At 52.3% G+C, this 17,829-nt stretch overlaps 1 protein-coding gene and 1 long non-coding RNA gene across 7 annotated transcripts, besides 9 other annotated features; one reads left to right on the plus strand and one right to left on the minus strand.

Annotated features, from left to right (window-relative positions):
• Window positions 1–224: 224 nt before the first annotated feature.
• Window positions 225–9,578, minus strand: ZNF213-AS1 (ZNF213 antisense RNA 1). Its single transcript, NR_110900.1, has 6 exons — window positions 9,326–9,578; window positions 7,546–7,638; window positions 6,715–6,799; window positions 4,157–4,349; window positions 3,944–4,006; window positions 225–662 (listed from the first exon to the last, which is right to left on the minus strand). It is a non-coding gene; the product is annotated as a ZNF213 antisense RNA 1 (long non-coding RNA).
• Window positions 2,388–2,938: an enhancer, noted in NCBI's record as "OCT4-NANOG hESC enhancer chr16:3177693-3178243 (GRCh37/hg19 assembly coordinates)". NCBI's record gives its function as "activates a minimal SCP1, AML or CMV promoter by ChIP-STARR-seq in primed H9 embryonic stem cells {active_cell/tissue: H9 hESC(primed)}" and the evidence as "EXISTENCE:reporter gene assay evidence [ECO:0000049][PMID:30033119]".
• Window positions 4,076–4,295: an enhancer, noted in NCBI's record as "active region_10303". NCBI's record gives its function as "activates an Ori minimal core promoter by ATAC-STARR-seq in GM12878 lymphoblastoid cells {active_cell/tissue: GM12878}" and the evidence as "EXISTENCE:reporter gene assay evidence [ECO:0000049][PMID:35858748]".
• Window positions 4,076–4,438: a biological region, named in NCBI's record as "Sharpr-MPRA regulatory region 2057".
• Window positions 4,135–4,392: a silencer, noted in NCBI's record as "fragment chr16:3179440-3179697 (GRCh37/hg19 assembly coordinates)". NCBI's record gives its function as "represses an EF-1alpha promoter that drives an FKBP-Casp9 reporter gene in an ReSE screen in HepG2 liver carcinoma cells {active_cell/tissue: HepG2}" and the evidence as "EXISTENCE:reporter gene assay evidence [ECO:0000049][PMID:32094911]".
• Window positions 4,144–4,438: a silencer, noted in NCBI's record as "tiled region #2057; HepG2 Repressive DNase matched - State 1:Tss, and K562 Repressive non-DNase unmatched - State 2:TssF". NCBI's record gives its function as "represses a minimal TATA promoter and a strong SV40 promoter by Sharpr-MPRA in HepG2 and K562 cells {active_cell/tissue: HepG2 | K562}" and the evidence as "EXISTENCE:reporter gene assay evidence [ECO:0000049][PMID:27701403]".
• Window positions 9,306–9,475: an enhancer, noted in NCBI's record as "active region_10304". NCBI's record gives its function as "activates an Ori minimal core promoter by ATAC-STARR-seq in GM12878 lymphoblastoid cells {active_cell/tissue: GM12878}" and the evidence as "EXISTENCE:reporter gene assay evidence [ECO:0000049][PMID:35858748]".
• Window positions 9,486–9,675: an enhancer, noted in NCBI's record as "active region_10305". NCBI's record gives its function as "activates an Ori minimal core promoter by ATAC-STARR-seq in GM12878 lymphoblastoid cells {active_cell/tissue: GM12878}" and the evidence as "EXISTENCE:reporter gene assay evidence [ECO:0000049][PMID:35858748]".
• Window positions 9,725–17,500, plus strand: ZNF213 (zinc finger protein 213). 6 transcript variants are annotated; one of them, NR_104432.2, is made up of 6 exons: window positions 9,725–10,083; window positions 11,862–12,375; window positions 13,050–13,237; window positions 13,441–13,514; window positions 13,671–13,794; window positions 15,385–17,500. NR_104432.2 is itself a non-coding variant. In NM_001134655.2 (6 exons), the coding sequence occupies exons 2-6, from the start codon at window positions 11,977–11,979 to the stop codon at window positions 16,041–16,043; spliced, it is 1,380 nt and encodes a 459-aa protein (NP_001128127.1). In that variant the 5' UTR covers window positions 9,725–10,141; window positions 11,862–11,976; the 3' UTR covers window positions 16,044–17,500. The 6 variants fall into 6 exon arrangements, 5 of the variants coding, with proteins under 5 accessions (NP_001128127.1, XP_011520954.1, NP_004211.1 ...); NM_001134655.2 differs by having other exon boundaries at window positions 9,725–10,141; window positions 13,114–13,237; XM_011522652.4 differs by having other exon boundaries at window positions 13,114–13,237; window positions 15,332–17,500.
• Window positions 9,786–10,015: a silencer, noted in NCBI's record as "silent region_7119". NCBI's record gives its function as "represses an Ori minimal core promoter by ATAC-STARR-seq in GM12878 lymphoblastoid cells {active_cell/tissue: GM12878}" and the evidence as "EXISTENCE:reporter gene assay evidence [ECO:0000049][PMID:35858748]".
• Window positions 13,160–13,660: an enhancer, noted in NCBI's record as "H3K4me1 hESC enhancer chr16:3188465-3188965 (GRCh37/hg19 assembly coordinates)". NCBI's record gives its function as "activates a minimal SCP1, AML or CMV promoter by ChIP-STARR-seq in naive H9 embryonic stem cells {active_cell/tissue: H9 hESC(naive)}" and the evidence as "EXISTENCE:reporter gene assay evidence [ECO:0000049][PMID:30033119]".
• Window positions 17,501–17,829: the final 329 nt, after the last annotated feature.

The following is a 17,829-nucleotide window of genomic DNA, read 5'->3' on the forward strand; positions in this document are numbered from 1 at the left end:
CTCGAACTCCTGACCTCAAGCCCGCCTCGGTCTCCCAAAGTGCCGGGATTGCAGGTGTGAGCCACCACGCCCGGCCTCACTAGTTCATTTTTCAAATACAAAATGAATGCCTGTTAATTTAGCAAAGGTCCTTTGCTAAATGTTGAGTTGTAAGTGAGGAAGATTCCAGACAAGACCCTTGCCCTCATGGGGTTCCAGTGTGGTGGGGGAAACTGACAGACACATACATGGCACACACTTTAACTTCAAGTAGTTACAAATGCCAGAAAGAAATGAACTGGGTAAAACAGGAGAGGACGGTCGGAGCTTCATTGTCAGGGAAGACCCCTCCAAGGAGGGGACATTTAAGCTGAGACTCAAAGGGTGAGAAGCGGTTTTACAAGGATCTGGAGTACGAACCTTTCAAGCAAAGGGAACAGGATAAACATGAGGAGGAGACTGGTGCCCAGTAGCTGAAATGACCCCTGCCCCGAACCTTCCCCGCCCCCACCCCAACCCCCCCATGTGGAGGGGAGGGGAGTGAGGAGACAGGCTGGAGAGCTGCGACTTGTCAGGGGGCAGTGGCTTGAGGCTTCTCCCTGGTGTCCTGTGAAGACAGTCCAGCCTTCCTCATCGCACGCTCCTCTGGCAGCCTGAGACATGGGGTCAGGCGGGCTTCCTGCCTGGTGTAAAGGCAGCACCCAATGAATGGCCTGCACCTCAGTAACTTAAGACAGCAATTTTTATGTTCTCAACTAACAAAGCCCTAGGCTAGTCATGGAGATGAACACAGATCTCACAGAGCAACCACAGAGCTCTTCAAGGATTCAGGTGATCCTGTCATTAATGCCTTTCTCAGAGACTTAGTGAAGCCAGTGTCTACTGGTAAAAGATAGCTGGGGATGGGGTGGGTACACAGGTCATGCATGATAAGGCCACTCAACATTTCCATCTCCCTAAGGAAAAGGAGCCTTTGGTTTCCTTCTTTCCTGTCATGCCACTTCAGCCATCTCAACCTTGTTAACTGAAGGCCACCAATGAGTCCAAATTTCAGCCAACCAATGGAGTAAACTGCTAAAAAGCCACCAACAGCCACACACGCTAACATTAAATTTGAAGTCTACTAAATGCACCTATATCATTGAATTTGATTTCTCATTTTGTGTGTGTGTGTGACAGAGTCTTGTTCTGTCACGCAGGCTGAAGTGCAGTGGCATGATCACAGTTCACTGCAGCCTTGACCTCTCAGGCTCAAGCGACCCTCCCACCTCAGCTTTCTGAGTAGCTGGGACTATAGGTGCTCACCACAACACCCCGCTAATTTTTGTATTTTATGTTTCAACTATGTTGCCCAAACTGATAACAAACTCCTGGGCTCAAGTGATGATCCTCCAGCCTCTGCCTCCTAAAGTGCTGGGACTACAGGCATGAGCTACTGCACCCGGTCTAATCTCATCTCTTTTTATATTCTGTCCACTTTGGTATGCTATCCTTAGAATCTACTCTTGCATCTATCCCCCAGGTTTCTGCTAGTTTATATCAGCAAAGTGAATTATTTTAGTGTATAAGCTATTTCCTCCTGGGTCATAACGTGTATCTTTCCCCTCTCTCTCTGTCTCTTGCACACGCTTGTGCAGCCTCTCTCTCCACACACACACATATATAGATTGTGTTGAGATTTGACCCTAGTTGTTATGAGTTTACTGGCAATGGAGCGCAATTGTGGTGGGTTTTCAGGAGAATGGACATCCCCTTTTAGGTCTTCTGCCCCTGGGAAGGTTATCCTAAGGTTTTCAAGCAGAGAAAGGCTATTCTATTCAGATACTGAGGGCAAACTACTTCTACTGGTAAAGGAGGCTCAGAGTGACCTAAGGAATCAAGACTGTCAATTTCATCTGGGTCCAAACATATATCCCCACTTTGAATTTCAGGATCACCTTCTGTTTTTTCGTTTTGTTTTGTTTTTTTGATAGAGTCTCGCTCTGTCGCCCAGTCTGGAAGTGCAGTGGCGCCATCTCGGCCCCCTGCAACCTCACCTCCCAGGTTCAAGCGATTCTCCTGCCTCAGCCTCCCGAGTAACTGGGATTACAGGACTGCACCACTGTGCCTGGCCAGGATCACCTTCTTTACCAATCAGCGCAGTAACCTTCACGTGAGATTTGTTGGGCCTGGGAATTTAGCTGTCATTATTATTCAGCGACTCTACAGTTAAGTTTTGTGTTTGATTTTCAGTGACAGTATTGTGGCTATAAGAGCTGCTTCTAAGCTATCACAGAAGTTCTCAGGTTCTCAGACCATGACTTGAACTGAGCTAAGGGACTTGGGCTTGTCATTTTCTCACTGTAAATGCTCAAGTGCACTAAAAATAATGTATCCCATACCATGGTTGTATAATCATCATTATACATCTGTGGACACCATAATGGCTGAGTGCAGCAGCTACTTGTTCCCACCAGGTACATGCTTTCATTGGCACTTCATCATCACCTGCAGGTGGCTGCTTGATTAATTGTGATATCGCTGCAAGCCGTGGATAACCAGCACCCTGTGATGGTTAATTTCATGTTAAACTATACTGGGCCAAGGCATGCCCAGACAGCTGCTTAAACATTCTTTCTGGGTGTGTCTGTGAGGGCTTCTCAAGAAGAGATTAACGTTTGAATTGGCTGAGTGAGTAAAGCAGACGGCCCTCACCACGGGTGGGCATCATCCATCCGTATGGAATTAAACAGAACAGCAAGGCAGAGGAAGGCTGAATTCTCTCTGTGCCTGAGTACTTGAGACCTGGGTACTGGGACATTGATCTCCTGGTCTTGTGCTCCTGATTCTCAGGCCTTGAGTCTTGAATTGGAATCTACACCATTGGCCTTTGGCTCTCAGGCCTTAAAATTACAAAACTGTTAGGAGGCGGAGGCAGGCGGATAGCTTGAGCCCAGGGGAGTTCGAGATCAGCCTAGGACATACAGGGAGAGGCCATCTCTATATAAAAATATATATATAGAACAAATTAGCTGGGTATGGTGGTGTCCACCTGTAGTCCCAGCTGTTCAGGAGGCTGAGATGGGAAGCTTGCTTGAGCTGGGGAAGTCAAGGCTGCAGTGAGCTGTGATTGTGCCACTGCAGTCCAGCCTGGGCAACAGAGGGAGACCCCATCTGAAAAAAAAATGCTGCACCACTGACCTTGGGTCTCCAGCTTGCAGATAGCAGATTGTGGGGCTTCTCGACTGCCATAATCATGTGAGGCAATACCTTAGTGTGTGTGTGTTTATATATATACATATACACACACATAAAAGCTCTCTCTCTCTCTCTCTATATATATATATATACACACACATACACATGTATATATAGATTCTGTTATTCTGTTTCTGGAGAACCCTAATACATATCCTATTTCTCATTGTCAAGGAGCTCAGTCTGCACTCAAGCCCAAATACCCAAATCCGTCCCCATATCCCTTCTTTGTGCATCTATCTCTTGAGACCACTCCTTGTACTAATTTTGTATCAAGCAAGGTCCAATCAGGAGAAGGGAAGCACACAGTAATTTGAACTGGGAAAATTTAATATATAGAATTAAGCTATAAAGGGCTTAGACTGGGCGCTCTGGCTAACGTCTGTAATCCCAGCACTTTGGGAGGCTGAGACAGGTGGATCACCTGAGGTCGAGAGTTTGAGACCAACCTGACCAACATGGAGAAACCCCGTCACTACTAAAAATACAAAATTAGCTGGGCGTGGTGGCACATGCCTGTAATCCCACCTACTTGTGAGGCTGAGGCAGGAGAATCACTTGAACTCAGGAGGCGGAGGTTGCAGTGAGCCACTGCACTGCCTGGGCAACAGAGCGAGACTCCGTCTCAAAAAAAAACAAAAAACAAAAAGGCATTTTCAAGAGGTTGGCTGGTAAGAAGTAAAGAGAACTCTGATTCTCTGGTCACAGCACATAGCAGCAGCCATACCTTCTGGCCTGAGTTCCAGCACTCAAGCAAGAGGTTTCCTGGTCCCTGGGCTTAGATCCAGACCTTGAAGAGGGCACAACGGCAGTTTCACTGAATGGCAGAGAAGTGGCTGTGGTACCACATGGGCAGAATTTGCTGGAAATCCATCCTCAAGGGTAGAAAAAGCTGCTCACAGGGAAGTGTCTCATGAGAAACGCGCTGCTACAGAACTACCTGAAGAGGGTGGCAGAGAAAGCTGCTAGGTGCCGCTGGTTGAGGTTCACTGAGGCGGCGGCACTGGAGACGCTTTGCAGGCTGCGGGCGCCTGCTGTCACAGGAGCTGCCCATGCTGCAGGAGCTGGGTGCTGGCGAAGCCCTGTGTGCTGCAGAAGCCAGACTCGGAAGAAGTCACCCGTCATGCCGGAGCCTAGAGAGAACACACCAGAAGCAGGAAGGGAAACTCGTCTCCTGCAATGTCTCTCCAGCGCCCTCTACTGACAAAGCTTAAGATCATGCCAGCTGGTAAAGGAAAAACTAAAGGGCCAGAACCATTTCACAGAGCAGGCAACGCAGGAGCTGGGACGTAATCAATAACTAGCACAGGTTTATATTATGATTCGTCTGTAGCGGCCTGCCAAAGGTTCCATATAACATCCCTGCGGCAGGAACTGACACTTCAGGCCCCACCGAATCAGCTAGATAACGGCCCACATTGCAGAGCAGCCAATCAAAACCGGAACATATTTAGATCATTTGGTAAACGGGACACTCAAGCAGTCCTATAGGGAGGCCTATGTGGGGAGGAACTGAGGTCTCCTGCCAAGAGCCACGTGAGTCATCCGCCTTCTAAGTGGGTCCTCCAGTGCCAGAGGACTGGGGTCCTCGTTGGTGTGGTGTCTGCAGTATCATGAGAGATCTTGAGCCAGAACTGCCTAGCTTAGCAGCTCGCATATTTCTTTTTTTTTTTTTTTTTTGAGACGGAGTCTTGCTGCTGCCCAGGCTGAAGTGCAGTGCCATGATCTCAGCTCACTATAACCTCCACCTCCCAGGTTCACTTTACTTTCTTCATTATTTATAGACTATATTTTCTTTTTTGTGAGACGGAGTATTGCTCTGTCATCCAGACTGGAGTGCAGTGGCGTGTTCTCAGCTCACTGCAACCTCCGCATCCTGGGTTCACGCCATTCTCCTGCCTCAGCCTGCCGAGTAGCTGGGACAAGGTGCCTGCCACCACGTCCGGCTTATTTTTTGTATTTTTAGTAGAGCTGGGGTTTCACCGTGTTAGCCAGGATGGTTACAGGCGTGAGCCACCGCACCTGGCCACTTTAGACTGTATTTTCTAGCGAGAAAAAACAGTGGGCCGGTCCCGATGGCTCATGCCTGTAATCTTAACACTTTAGGAGACCAAGGCGGGTAGATCACTTGAGGTCAGGAGTTTGAGACCAGCTTGGGCAACATGGCAAAACCTCGTCTCTACTAAAAATACAAAAATTAGCCGGGCATGGTGGCACACACCTGTAATCACAGCTACTTGGGAGGCTGAGGCAGCAGAATTGCCTGTAATCCCAGCACTTTGGGAGGCCAAGGCGGGTGGATCATGAGGTCAGGAGTTTCAGACCAGCCTAGCGAACATGGTGAAACCCCATCTCTACTAAAAATACAAAAAATTAGCCAGATGTGGTGGTGTGCTCCTGTAATCCCAGTTACTTGGGAGGCTGAGGCAGGAGAACTGCTTCAATGTGGGAGGTGGAGGTTGCAGTGAGCCAAGATGGCGCCACTGCACTCCAGCCTGGGCTACAGAGCAAGACTCGGTCTCAAAAAATAAATAAATAAATAAACAAATAACCGGGCGCGGTGGCTCACGCCTGTAATCCCAGCACTTTGGGAGGCTGAAGCGGGCAGATCATGAGGTCAGGAGAGCGAGGCCATCCTGGTTAACACAGTGAAATCTCTACTAAAAATATAAAAAAGAGGCCGAGGCAGGTGGATCACGAGGTCAGGAGATAGAGACCATGCTGGCTAACATGGTGAAACCCCGTCTCTACTAAAAATACAAAAAATTAGCCGGGCATGGTGGTGGGCTCCTGTAGTCCCAGCTACTCGGGAGGCTGAGGCAAGAGAATGGCATGAACTCGGGAGGCGGAGTTTGCAGTGAGCTGAGATCGCGCCACTGCACTCCAGCCTGGGCAACAGAGCAAGACTCCATTTCAAAAAAAAAAAAAAAAAAATTAGCCAGCCGTGGTGGCAGGTGCCTGTAGTCCCAGCTACTCAGGAGGCTGAGGCAGGAGAATGGCATGAACTCGGGAGGCAGAGCTTGCAGTGAACCGAGATCGCGCCACTGGACTCCAGCCTGGGCGACAGAGCAAGACTCCATCTAAAGTAAGAAAGAAAAAGAACACGTGAAAAATTATCAGAAGGAACAAGAAAGTGCAATCCGGTAGTCAATTTCAATATAATTTTATGCAAATTTGCCATATACCAGCAATGCTCAATAGAAAATACAGTTCATGTGCCACTTACCAATGTATGGCCTCTCAGCCCAAACACATCCTTTTCGTTCTGCTTTGTGATACTGAGCTGGATCACATCTAAGCTTTGGGTGAGATCCAGTGTGATACCCAGCTGGACCCTGTATACAGTTCCTTGCTAGCCAGCTTGATGTTGTTCTTCGCTAATACAGGGCGATGGATGAACACTGTCAGGTCAGAGCAGGAGGGAGGGGCTGTCTTCTCCACTGTGGCCAGCGGAGGGCAGGAGAGGTAACCAGCGGCCTTCAGTTCCACTGTCCTCACCTTGGTCCGGCTCCTGCCCTTTCCACTGTCCGCTAGCTGTGAGTTCTCGGGGCACCCACTCCCTCTTCTGAGGTCCAGTCTCCACCTTGAATTGAAAGGGGAAGGGCTCTTTCGTGTTTCCAAGTTTCCCTCCTTTTTACTTCCTCAGTCCTAAGGGCACAAGTTCCTTCCTGCAGTTGCTATTCTGTAACTCTTAGAAATCTCTCTTACCAGTTGGGTAGTTAACCATCTTTACAACTGACCAATTATTTTTATCAAATTTTCTCTTCAAAATAATGGTGTGGCCGGGCACAGGTGCTCACGCCTGTAATCCCAGTACTTTGGGAGGCCGAAATGGGTGGATCACCTGAGGTCAGGAGTTCGAGACCAGCCTGGCCAACATGGCAAAACCCCGTCTCTACTAAAAATACAAAAAATTAGCTGGGCGTGGTGGCGGGTGCCTGTAATCCCAGCTACTTGGGAGGCTGAGGCAGGAGAATTGCTTGAACCCAGGAGGCAGAGGTTTGCAATGAGCCGAGATCGTGCCATTGCACTCCAGCCTGGGCAACAGAGTGAGACTCTGTCAAAAAAAGAGAATATTCCAATGAAAATAACAACAGACAATTCACAAAAGGATAAATAGAAATAATACTGGAAAAAAAGAAAACATATCCAGCTTCTCTAGAAATCAAGGAAATGGTAACTATATTCATGGAATTTCTCCCATTGGGCTGTTGCACAGAATGAGCGCAAGACGTAAAAGACTTAGCTCAATGCCTGGCATATAAACACTCTATACATGGTAACTATCATGATTTAAAAGTTTAATAGGATGGGTGCAGTGGTTCTCACCTGTAATCCCAGCACTTTGGAAAGCTGAGGCAGGCGGATCCCTTGAGGTCTGGAGTTCAAGACCAGCCTGGCTAACCTGGTGAAACCCCATCTCTACTAAAAATACAAAAATTAGCCTGGTGTGGTGGCGTGCACCTGTAATCCCAGCTACTAGGGAGGCTGAGATGGGAGGATCGCTTGAACCTGGGAGGTGGAGGTTGCAGTGAGCCATGAAATTGCACTACCGCACCAAAAAAAAAAAAAAAAAATTTAATTACTGTGGACCTTATGGGGACGCTACATCAAGCTGTTTCCCAATTGAATTGGAATGCCACAACAACGGCTGAACACTGTAAATGTCCAAATCTGGAGGAACAGAGGAAGGTAAACATTTGATTCTCAAGTGGAAGTTCAAAGCATTACATTCTTTCTGGAGGACAGTTTGGAAACATGTACACAAAGTAATCTGGCAATTCCATTTCTAGTTTTTCTCAGGGAAATGTTCAAGCAAATGAATAAAGGTGTACGTAGAAGCATATCTGCAAATACAGAAAGATGGAAAAAATCTAAATGTCCAAGGGTGGGGGACTTAAAATATGAAAATTCCGCCAGGCACGGTGGCTCACGTCTGTAATCTCAGCACTTTGGGAGGCCGAGGCGGGCAGATCACCTGAGGTCAGGAGTTCGAGACCAGCCTGACCAACACGGAGAAACCCCGTCTCTACTAAAAATACAAAATTAGCCGGGCGTGGTGACACATGCCTGTAATCCTAGCTACTCGGGAGGCTGAGGCAGAAGAATCGCTTGAATCCAGGAGGCGGAGGTTGCAGTGAGCCAAGATCGCGCCACTGCAGTCCAGCCTGGGTGACAGAGCGAGACTCTGTCTCAAAAAAAAAAAAAAAATATATATATATATATATATATATATATACACACATATATAATATATATTCACAGGCATATAACTGTCTGAACAGTAAAACTGTAAGAACACACTAAAACATGAATAGTACTTATTCCTGGATGGTCGTATTAGAAATGTTTTTTACCTTCATTCATTAAACAAATATTTACTAAGCATCTACCATGTGCCAGGCACAATTCTAGGTGCTTGTCATAGGGCATTAAAAAGTGTCTGCCCTCATGAACACTTATCGTTGAGTCGTGGGAAACACGTATATGTCAGGTAGTGATAAACATTAGGGAGAAAAGTTAACGCCGAGCACAGGTTGTTTACAGAGCTGGGGAAGGCCTCCTTGAGGGGGTGACATATGAGCAGAATGAGGGAGCAAGCCTTGTGGCTATCACGAGAAAGCTATCTTTATGGTTTTCCAATTAATTTTCTAAATTTTCTCTTCCAAGCATGCAACACCTACATAATTAAGACAAAACAAACCAAAAAAACTCTTTCCATTTATGAAAGAGATCTGGAGCCTGAAATCATCTCCGGGTCGAGGCGTGGAGAGAGTGGGAGAGGATCCGAGGGTATGGAAAGGACCCCGAGCCCCCCTGCTCTAGATCCCTCCGGGCCGTGGGACCCCTGACGCCCAGCAGCAACTCGTGGACAAAGCAGCTGGTGAGAGAACGCGGGACTCCGGCCAGGTCAGTGTCCCGCTTGCCGCGTCCTGCTAAGGCGACCCGAAGACAGAGGATCGCCGCAGGAGGCTCCGCGCCCCTTACCCGAGGGCACTTCCCAGCAAGCTCGACGCCTCTCCAGGGAATTGGGAGGAGCGGGACCCAAGAGGCTAGAAAAGAGTCTCCCCGGCCCGAGCTCCACGGCCCGCGGCCTTTCGGCCCTCACCTACTAGTTGGCAAAGAAAGACCGTGGCAGAAGGAAGAGGCCGCTCCAGCGCATCCCTTCGGGCGGAGCAGAAGCTCCACTTGTGGCTAGGCCATGTGCCCTCTCCGTTCCTCGGGCCAGCCTTGGCTTCCCCTTTTTGTCGCTCAAGGGCCAGGGTCGCAAGGAAATGTGAAAAAAAAGCGGAGACAAAAGAGAACGAGGTAAATCTAGATGCAGAGCCTCGCCTTTCCTCCCGGGTGCAGGTGTATGACGCGTATGGAGTTTCTGTCTTCTAATAGGCAGCCTGAGAATTCTTCCTGTTCATTGGCCATCGGTCATGGAGAAGGCGGGCTCAGTGGACGAACGGCTTTCTGGGAGCTGGGGAATGCTTGCGTAGCGTAGTTTCCCAGCGAGCCCCGCGAGGACTTCCGGCGCCGGGAGCTCGCGGCGGAAGTGGGATCTCCTGGGCCGTAGTGGGCGTTGTGTGTTTCGGGGGCGGGGGCGGGGGCGGGGGCCGGGGCGGGGACGGGGCCTCTGGCCGCCTGGCTCCAACATCAAGCACCGGGCTCCGAGTGGCCGGGATCAGCGCCCCGAGGCAGAGGCCGGAGGGCGCGCGCACTGCTAGGAAGTGCTGGTCCCCCGCGCCGCTCTGCCAGCTTGGTCCCCCGGCAGACGCCCCTGTACGATCGCCGCTCGCCCCGCGGGCGAGGCTGCGGTGGACAGCGCGGGGCTCCGGCTGGCTCGCCTTCCCGCCTGCCGTGTCCTGCTGAGCGACCCTGGTGAGTCCTGGCCCTCTTCGAGGAAAGTCTTCTTCGAAGTCACCAGAGGATGAGAATGGTGCGCGCACCTTTCAGGGGTCTTGTGAGGAGCAGAATAAATAAAGTGCTTAGGATGGACTAAAGAATTGGAAACAACCCGAATGCATCACTCGAGTATTGATTAAGAAACTAGAGCATATCCATACCGCGGAAGCTCATAGTGCCGCTAATGTCTGTGCAGTAAGGTCTCATTTATGTAGAAACACATCAAGCACCTTTTCTCCCCGCTATGGATGACTTTTTTAGTAAAAGCACAGGAAAAGGTCTGGGACGTCATTTGTCAGACTGTTAAGTCGGGGGGTACAATGGTATTGAGGAAGGGAGAGTTTTACAGATTTCTATATTGTTTGAATCTTCCCTTTTTTATTAAGATGGTTTGTATTTTTTTCATTTTCTTTTTACTTTTCTTTTCTTTCTTTTTTTTTTTTTTTTGAGATGGTCTCACTCTGTTGCCCAGGCTGGAGTACAGTGGTGCGATCATAGCTCATTGCAACCTCAAACTCCTGGACTCAAGCAATCTTTCCTCCTCAGCCTCCCCAGTAGCTGGGACTACAGGAGCCCCACCTGGCTTTTTTTGTTTTTTGGTACAGATGGCGTCTCACATTGTCTTCCCAAAGGGGTCTTGAACCCCTGGCCTCAAGCAATCATCCTGTGTCTGTCTCCCAAAATGCTGGGATTACAGGCATAAGCCACCAAGCCCGGCCAGTTTGTATTTTTATTGTTGAAACAAAAAATCGATTACTGAAAATTGCATAATACACTTTTCAGTAGAGAGTAACAATGTAAGGTATAAATGTGTCATACATTTATATGTACCTGTGGATAAATGGCTTTGGATGGTGTCTGTAAGCCCTTCTGTGACACCTCAGGGCCAGATGTGTTTTGGAATTCAGAGGTTTTCAAATTTGAGAAAGATAATATAGTGCACAGACGATATATCAAGCACATCTCCAGAGGGATCTGGGGCAACACTAAATAATGAAACATATCAGTTAAAATTTTTTAATTAGGCCGGGCGCAGTGGCTCACGCCTGTAATCCCAGCACTTTAGGAGGCCGAGGCGGGTGGATCACAAGGTCAGGAGTTTGAGACCATCCTGGCCAACATGGTGAAACCTCGTCTCTACTAAAAATACAAAAAATTAGCTGGACGTGGTAGCTGGTGCCTGTAGTCCCAGCTACTTGGGAGGCTGAAGCAGGAGAATCGCTTGAACCTGGCAGGCAGAGGTTGCAGTGAACTGAGATTGCGCCACTGCACTCCAGCCTGGGCGACAGAGTGAGACTCTCTCTCAGTAAAAAAAAAAAAAAAAGATATTTAATTGATGTATAATGTGCAATACAGAAAAACACACGAGTGGGTATAGCTCAATGAAATTTTATAAACTGAAGATATATGTTATTAATATTTCCACCATAATTTTGAACATTTACATTTAGTGGAATAAATTGAGATTATAAATATGCTTATATCAGGTCAGGTGGTGCTGCCAAATGAATGACATTGGGTTTTGCTGTCAAAGAGTTATGAAACACCCGGGTTTTGGATTTCTGGCTTTGGGATGAGAGCTTGTGGGCCTGTGTTAATAGGAGAGACAGTCACATGAGCAAGGCATTACAGTAAAGCCTAGAAAAGGCTTCAGGGCCATGAAAGGATGGGGACTGGATGGCTCTTCAGCCTGGGGTTTGCTCGTGTATTCCACATCCTTCCTCCTCAGTCCTGCCATTTTGCTCTTTCCCCAGGAGTACACATCCAGATGCCAGCCCAGCTACCACAGGGGATCCCTCTGGGAGACTGAAAGTACAGGTTCTGGGGCCCAGGTTGAAGCCGACCAACCCTGAGCCTCAGGCCAGGGGAATGGCAGCCCCCTTGGAGGCCCAGGACCAGGCCCCTGGGGAGGGAGAAGGGCTTCTGATTGTGAAAGTGGAAGATTCCTCCTGGGAACAGGAATCTGCCCAGCATGAGGATGGCAGGGATTCCGAAGCCTGCCGCCAGCGCTTCCGGCAATTCTGCTACGGGGATGTGCATGGGCCTCATGAGGCCTTCAGCCAGCTCTGGGAGCTCTGCTGCCGCTGGCTGCGGCCCGAGCTGCGTACCAAGGAGCAGATCCTGGAGCTGCTGGTGCTGGAGCAGTTCCTGACAGTGCTGCCAGGGGAGATCCAGGGCTGGGTGCGTGAGCAGCACCCGGGAAGCGGTGAGGAGGCTGTCGCCTTGGTGGAGGACCTACAGAAGCAGCCAGTGAAAGCCTGGCGACAGGTGAGGGGCCCTTCCACATCCAGGGGCACCTGGATGGTATCTGAGCTCGAGAGAAGTGGGTAACCTGCAGAGATAAGTCTCCCAGAGGCTCACAGGGTAGGGGAGACACAGAGCCCCCAGGAGCAGGCACACAAGCACAGTGTGCCATGGGTGCCTTTCTGAAAGATGCGATCCAAAGTAAATGTGATTTATTTTTTGTGGCTTTGGAAGGCAGCAATAGGGCTGAAGTGCGAATGTTCCAGACAGGAGGTTTTAGCTCCATGCAGGGTCTGCTGATGTTTATTTGCATTTTGCTCTAGGCCTGGCTCTGGGGACACAAGGGTGTGCATAGAGCCAGCTCCAGAGTGGGGCGAGAAGGTGGAGCTGTCCGGGGCCTCTGCTACCTTGTGGGATGTTGGGTCCTTCACATTGGATGCATCTGGGGAGGTTCTAATGAGTGGCTGGGGGATGGGGTTCTGCCTTTGGCAGGAGGGTCCCCAGCTACCCCCTTGCTAAGTGGCTGTGATTCTGGCCTTTCAGGGCTGGTTCTTGCCTCGTGAATGATCGGGGAGCATCCTTGGGCACACAGCATTACCTGGTATCACATTCTCCTCCGGACTTTTCCTGGGGCACCATATTGGTCTCCTTCCCACACCCCAGCATCCTGAGGGTCATGTCCTGTGTCTCCTTCCCAGGGAGTAAACTCTGTCTCCCCCGGTCTGGTCTCGGGCTGATGAGCATGTTGTGGTTCCTGCACAGGATGTGCCCTCGGAGGAGGCGGAACCCGAGGCTGCAGGCCGGGGATCCCAGGCCACGGGGCCTCCCCCGACGGTGGGGGCACGGAGGCGGCCGTCTGTTCCCCAGGAGCAGCACAGCCATAGCGGTGAGTAAGCCTCCGTTCTTGTGGACAGTCGAGTGGCTGGGCAGGGACCTAGCTTTGTCACCGGCGTTGCCCTAAGGGTCACAGGCAGGACAGCTCCCTCTGTGAAGTCCAGGGCGTGTGTGCATGCGCACAGGCTGGGGAGGCCATAGGCGTCGGTGTCAAGCCTGGGCTGGCCTTTCTAAGGCTCCATTCTTCTCCTTCAGCCCAGCCTCCTGCTCTTCTTAAAGAGGGTCGTCCCGGAGAGACGACGGACACCTGCTTTGTCTCTGGGGTCCATGTGAGTCACCAGTCCCTTTGTCTTCTTTAAGGCACTTGGCCCTGTTGAGTTTGTAAAATGGGACTTGCTGTCCCATCAGGCCTCTTTCATCTGACCCATCCTGTCCCCGCCAGTGCTGCTGGGAGGCCTGAGCCGGGTCTTCTCACCCCATTCCAGGGACCTGTGGCATTGGGAGACATCCCATTCTATTTCTCCCGGGAAGAATGGGGCACCCTGGACCCTGCTCAGCGGGATCTCTTCTGGGACATAAAGCGGGAGAACTCCCGGAACACCACCCTGGGTAAGCACCCAGGGCCTTTGGGTCCAGGCTGGCCGCCCCCGATTCTGCTGGAACTTCAGTCTTGTTTCCCACCCCATCCTTAGCTGGTTCCAAAGCAGGCTCTCCCTAGGTCTTGCCAGGAGCCTGAGTAACTCCTTTCTTGGCTGATGATCAGTTTTTGTGCGTTTCCACATGCAGCATGGGACGGCGCCGGCGCTGCCCAGCCCTGCAGTTGCTCTAAGGGCAACTTCTCCTTTGAGTCTCACAACCTAGTGCATGGAAGTATTGTCCCCATTTTACGCATAAGGGACCTGAGACTCAGGTCAGTGGATGCTGAAGGGACACAGCTGGGACTTGGATCAGGCACAGTTGTGAGGCCACCTTGGGCTGCTAGGAGCAGGGGTGCTGACGGGGAACCCCAGCTGCTCACCAGCCTGGGCCCCTGCTCGTCAGAACTGCACTTACCAGGTTCCTCTCCATGCCAGGCCCCTTCTCAGCACCATCAGGGATCATCTTGTTCAGTCACACTCCCAGGAGGATGGGCTGCGACCTCTGTCCAGATCTGTGTTGAGTTTGGAGAACTAGAGCCTGCGTGGTGAAGGGAGCCACACTAGCTAGACCAGTTTGGCTCCTCAGTTTCCGACTGTGACGGTTGGGAAAAATTTTCTTTCTTTTTTTTTTTTTTGAGATGGAGTCTTGCTCTGTCGCCAGGCCGGAATGCAGTGGTGTGATCTCAGCTCACTGAAACTTCCACCTCCCGGGTTCAAGCAATTCTCCTGCCTCAGCCTGAGTAGCTGGGATTACAGGCATGAGCCACCATGCCCGGCTAATTTTTTTGTATTTTTAATAGAGACGAGTTTTCACCATGTTGGTCAGGCTGGTCTCGAACTCCTGACTTCATGATCCGCCTGCCTCAGCCTCCCAAAGTGCTGGGATTACAGGCGTGAGCCACCGCGCCCGGCCCTTGAAAAGTTTCAGAATTACTATAAATCTGTTCTGCTGTGGAGCTTGATATCTGGGGTTCAGAGTGGGACATTGGATCCCAGTGTGGCCTGCAGGGCACAGATGGCTTAGGGGGCTGGCCCATGCAGGCGGGATCAGAGGCTTATTCAGACTGCTGCTCTGCCGAATTTTTTCATCATCCCTGATTTATTTGGGTTTTTGTTTGTTTTTGAGACAAAGTCTCGCTCTTGGAGTGCAATGGCATGATCCCGGCTTACTGCAACCTCCGCTTCATGGGTTCAAGTGATTCTTCTACCTCAGCCTCCTGAGTAGCTGGGATTACAGATGTGCGCCACCATGCCCTGCTGATTTTTGCATTTTTTAATAGAGACGGGGTTTCACCATGTTGGCCAGGCTGGTCTCGAACTCCTAACCTCAGGTGATCAGCTCGCCTCAGCCTCCCAAAATGTTGGGATTACAGGCTTGAGTCACTGCGCCTGGCCAATCATCCCTGTTTTATAGATGAGGAACCTGAGAATTCAGCTGTGTGAACCCAGGGCTTTCTGAACCTGGAGGCCAGGGAGCTTTCCCCAGCCTTGTTTCTTCCTCACCTCAGCTCTGGCCCCAGAACCGCGTGGGACTGAAGAGGTCGCCTCCTTCCCCTTGCAGGTTTTGGGCTCAAAGGCCAAAGTGAGAAGTCCCTGCTGCAGGAGATGGTGCCGGTGGTGCCAGGCCAGACAGGCAGCGACGTGACTGTGTCCTGGAGCCCCGAGGAGGCTGAGGCCTGGGAGAGCGAGAACCGGCCGAGGGCGGCCCTGGGCCCAGTGGTGGGCGCGCGACGGGGGCGGCCACCCACTCGCCGGCGCCAGTTCCGGGACCTGGCAGCCGAGAAGCCGCACAGCTGCGGGCAGTGTGGAAAGCGCTTCCGCTGGGGCTCGGACCTGGCGCGGCACCAGCGCACGCACACGGGCGAGAAGCCACACAAGTGCCCTGAGTGCGACAAGAGCTTCCGCAGCTCCTCGGACCTGGTGCGCCACCAAGGCGTGCACACGGGCGAGAAGCCCTTCTCCTGTTCCGAGTGCGGCAAGAGCTTCAGCCGCAGCGCCTACCTGGCCGACCACCAGCGCATACACACGGGCGAGAAGCCTTTCGGCTGCAGCGACTGCGGCAAGAGCTTCTCGCTGCGCTCCTACCTGCTGGACCATCGGCGTGTGCACACCGGTGAGCGGCCCTTCGGCTGCGGAGAGTGCGACAAGAGCTTCAAGCAGCGCGCGCACCTCATCGCGCATCAGAGCCTGCACGCCAAGATGGCCCAGCCCGTGGGGTGAGCAGCTGGCTTGGCCGGAAACCCGGGGGAGGCCCAGCCACGGCACATCCTGCTTTGTTCACCACTGGGACTCTCCTTCCATCTGTGGCCACCTCCCGGGCTGTCCGAGGGACCCCAGGGTACCTCACACTCGGAGCTCGCCTGCCCTGCTTGGCTCTGAGGACCTGCCCAGCGCTCAAAGGGAACGGAAGCCTTCCCCTCCCGCCCCCGATCTTGTCCTCTTTCCCCCTTCTGCGCCTAGCGTTCCTCTTCCCCTCTAGTTTCCTGGAGCCCCAACACATTCCTGGCAGGGACAGCAGGGTGGCAAGGACTCAGGTCTAGGTCCCTTCCCAGAAGCCCCCGAGCCTCATTTGACTGTGTGGCTCTTTGGCCCCCACCCTGTGGGGTGGGTCCATGGGTCAGGCCTCTGCCCTACCAACCTGTGCCTTTCAGTGGGCGTGGAGGACTGGCCTTGGCCCCCCAGGGGGCTGCTGGACTTTGGGAGAGACAGCCCACACCTGTGGGACCGCGGGTCTTAGTCACGGCGGCAGGGGCTTTCTGGCCCCCTCCCACTCCCGTTTCCAGGCCATGACCACTCTGCCCTGTCCTGGCCATACGGACTCGGCCTGCCTTTGCCCTCGGCCTACTTGCCCTAGCATGAGGCTCTGAGAGCCACCTGCCCACCAATCTGGTGAGGATAATGGTGGCTCCAGCGACAGGAGGCCAACCCTGGAGACCAAGAACAGGGCGCCTGGCTGCCATCTTTTCCTCCAGAGGTGGGGCTGCACCAGACTCAGCACTAGCACTCCATCAGCACTAGCACCTCACTCCATCAGCACTAGCACCTCACTCCATCGGCCCCGGCACCCTGCTCCATCGGCACTGGCGCCCTGCTCCATCGGCACTAATGCTCCACTCGGCGCCCCACTCCATCGGCCCCGCTCCATCGGCACTAATGCCCCACTCGGCGCCCCACTCCATCAGCACTAATGCTCCACTCCATTGGCACTAACGCCCCAACTCCAGCGGCACTAATGACCCGCTCCTTTGACATTGGTGCCCCACTCCATCAGCACTAACGCCCTGCTCCATCGGCACTGGTGTCCCACTCCATTGTCACTAACGTCCGGCTCCATCGGCACTACCACCCCGCTCCATCATCACTATGTCCAGCTCCGTCGGCACTACCACCCTGCTCCATCATCACTACGTCCAGCTCCAACGGCACTGGTGCCCCATTCCATCGGCACTAACGCCCCGCTCCACCGGCACCAGTGCCTCGCTCCATTGGCACCAACGCCCAGCTCCACCGGTACTGGCTCCCTGCTCCATCGGCACTAACGCCCTGCTTCATTGGCACTTTGCTGCTGCCTCCTGAGCACTGCCTTCCATGAACAGGGACAGACCAGAGGCCCTGCAAGGACTCCCCCTCAGACCTCCAAAGGGCAACAGAAGAGTATTAATAAACGTGAAAACTTACCTCCAGGCTGTTCTGTTCTTTCGGTAGCTGGAGGGTGGGGATACCTGGAATATATGCCCCTTGCCCTGGCCTTGTGTCCTGGTGGCACATGCTGCTGCACCGTGACCAGGCGGAGCTGCGTCCTTGGCGTCCAGGTCGGCTGGGCCCCAATGGGCAGCCGTGTCCCCTGGGACTCTTGTCCCCCTGTGTCAGCTAGTGCCTGCCCTGCTCTGGGAGCACCGTCGGTGCTCCAGCAGAACGGGGAGCTGAGCAGGACTCAGGGTCTTCACCAGGCCACTCCTCTCCCACAACTGTGAAAGGAAGAAGGGCCCATAGACGCTGCTTGGTC

The sequence above is a fragment of the Homo sapiens genome, chromosome 16 (genome assembly GCF_000001405.40).
Source record: "Homo sapiens chromosome 16, GRCh38.p14 Primary Assembly".
Classification (NCBI taxonomy): Eukaryota; Metazoa; Chordata; class Mammalia; order Primates; family Hominidae; genus Homo; species Homo sapiens.

Coding starts and splice junctions, on each gene's coding strand:
- ZNF213 (XM_047434602.1), top strand. CDS start 11,785: ATGGCTCTTCAGCCTGGGGTTTGCTCGTGTATTCCACATCCTTCCTCC. Junction 12,376..13,113: donor CAGTGAAAGCCTGGCGACAG/GTGAGGGGCCCT, acceptor GTTCCTGCACAG/GATGTGCCCTCGGAGGAGGC. Junction 13,515..13,670: donor GCTTTGTCTCTGGGGTCCAT/GTGAGTCACCAG, acceptor ACCCCATTCCAG/GGACCTGTGGCATTGGGAGA.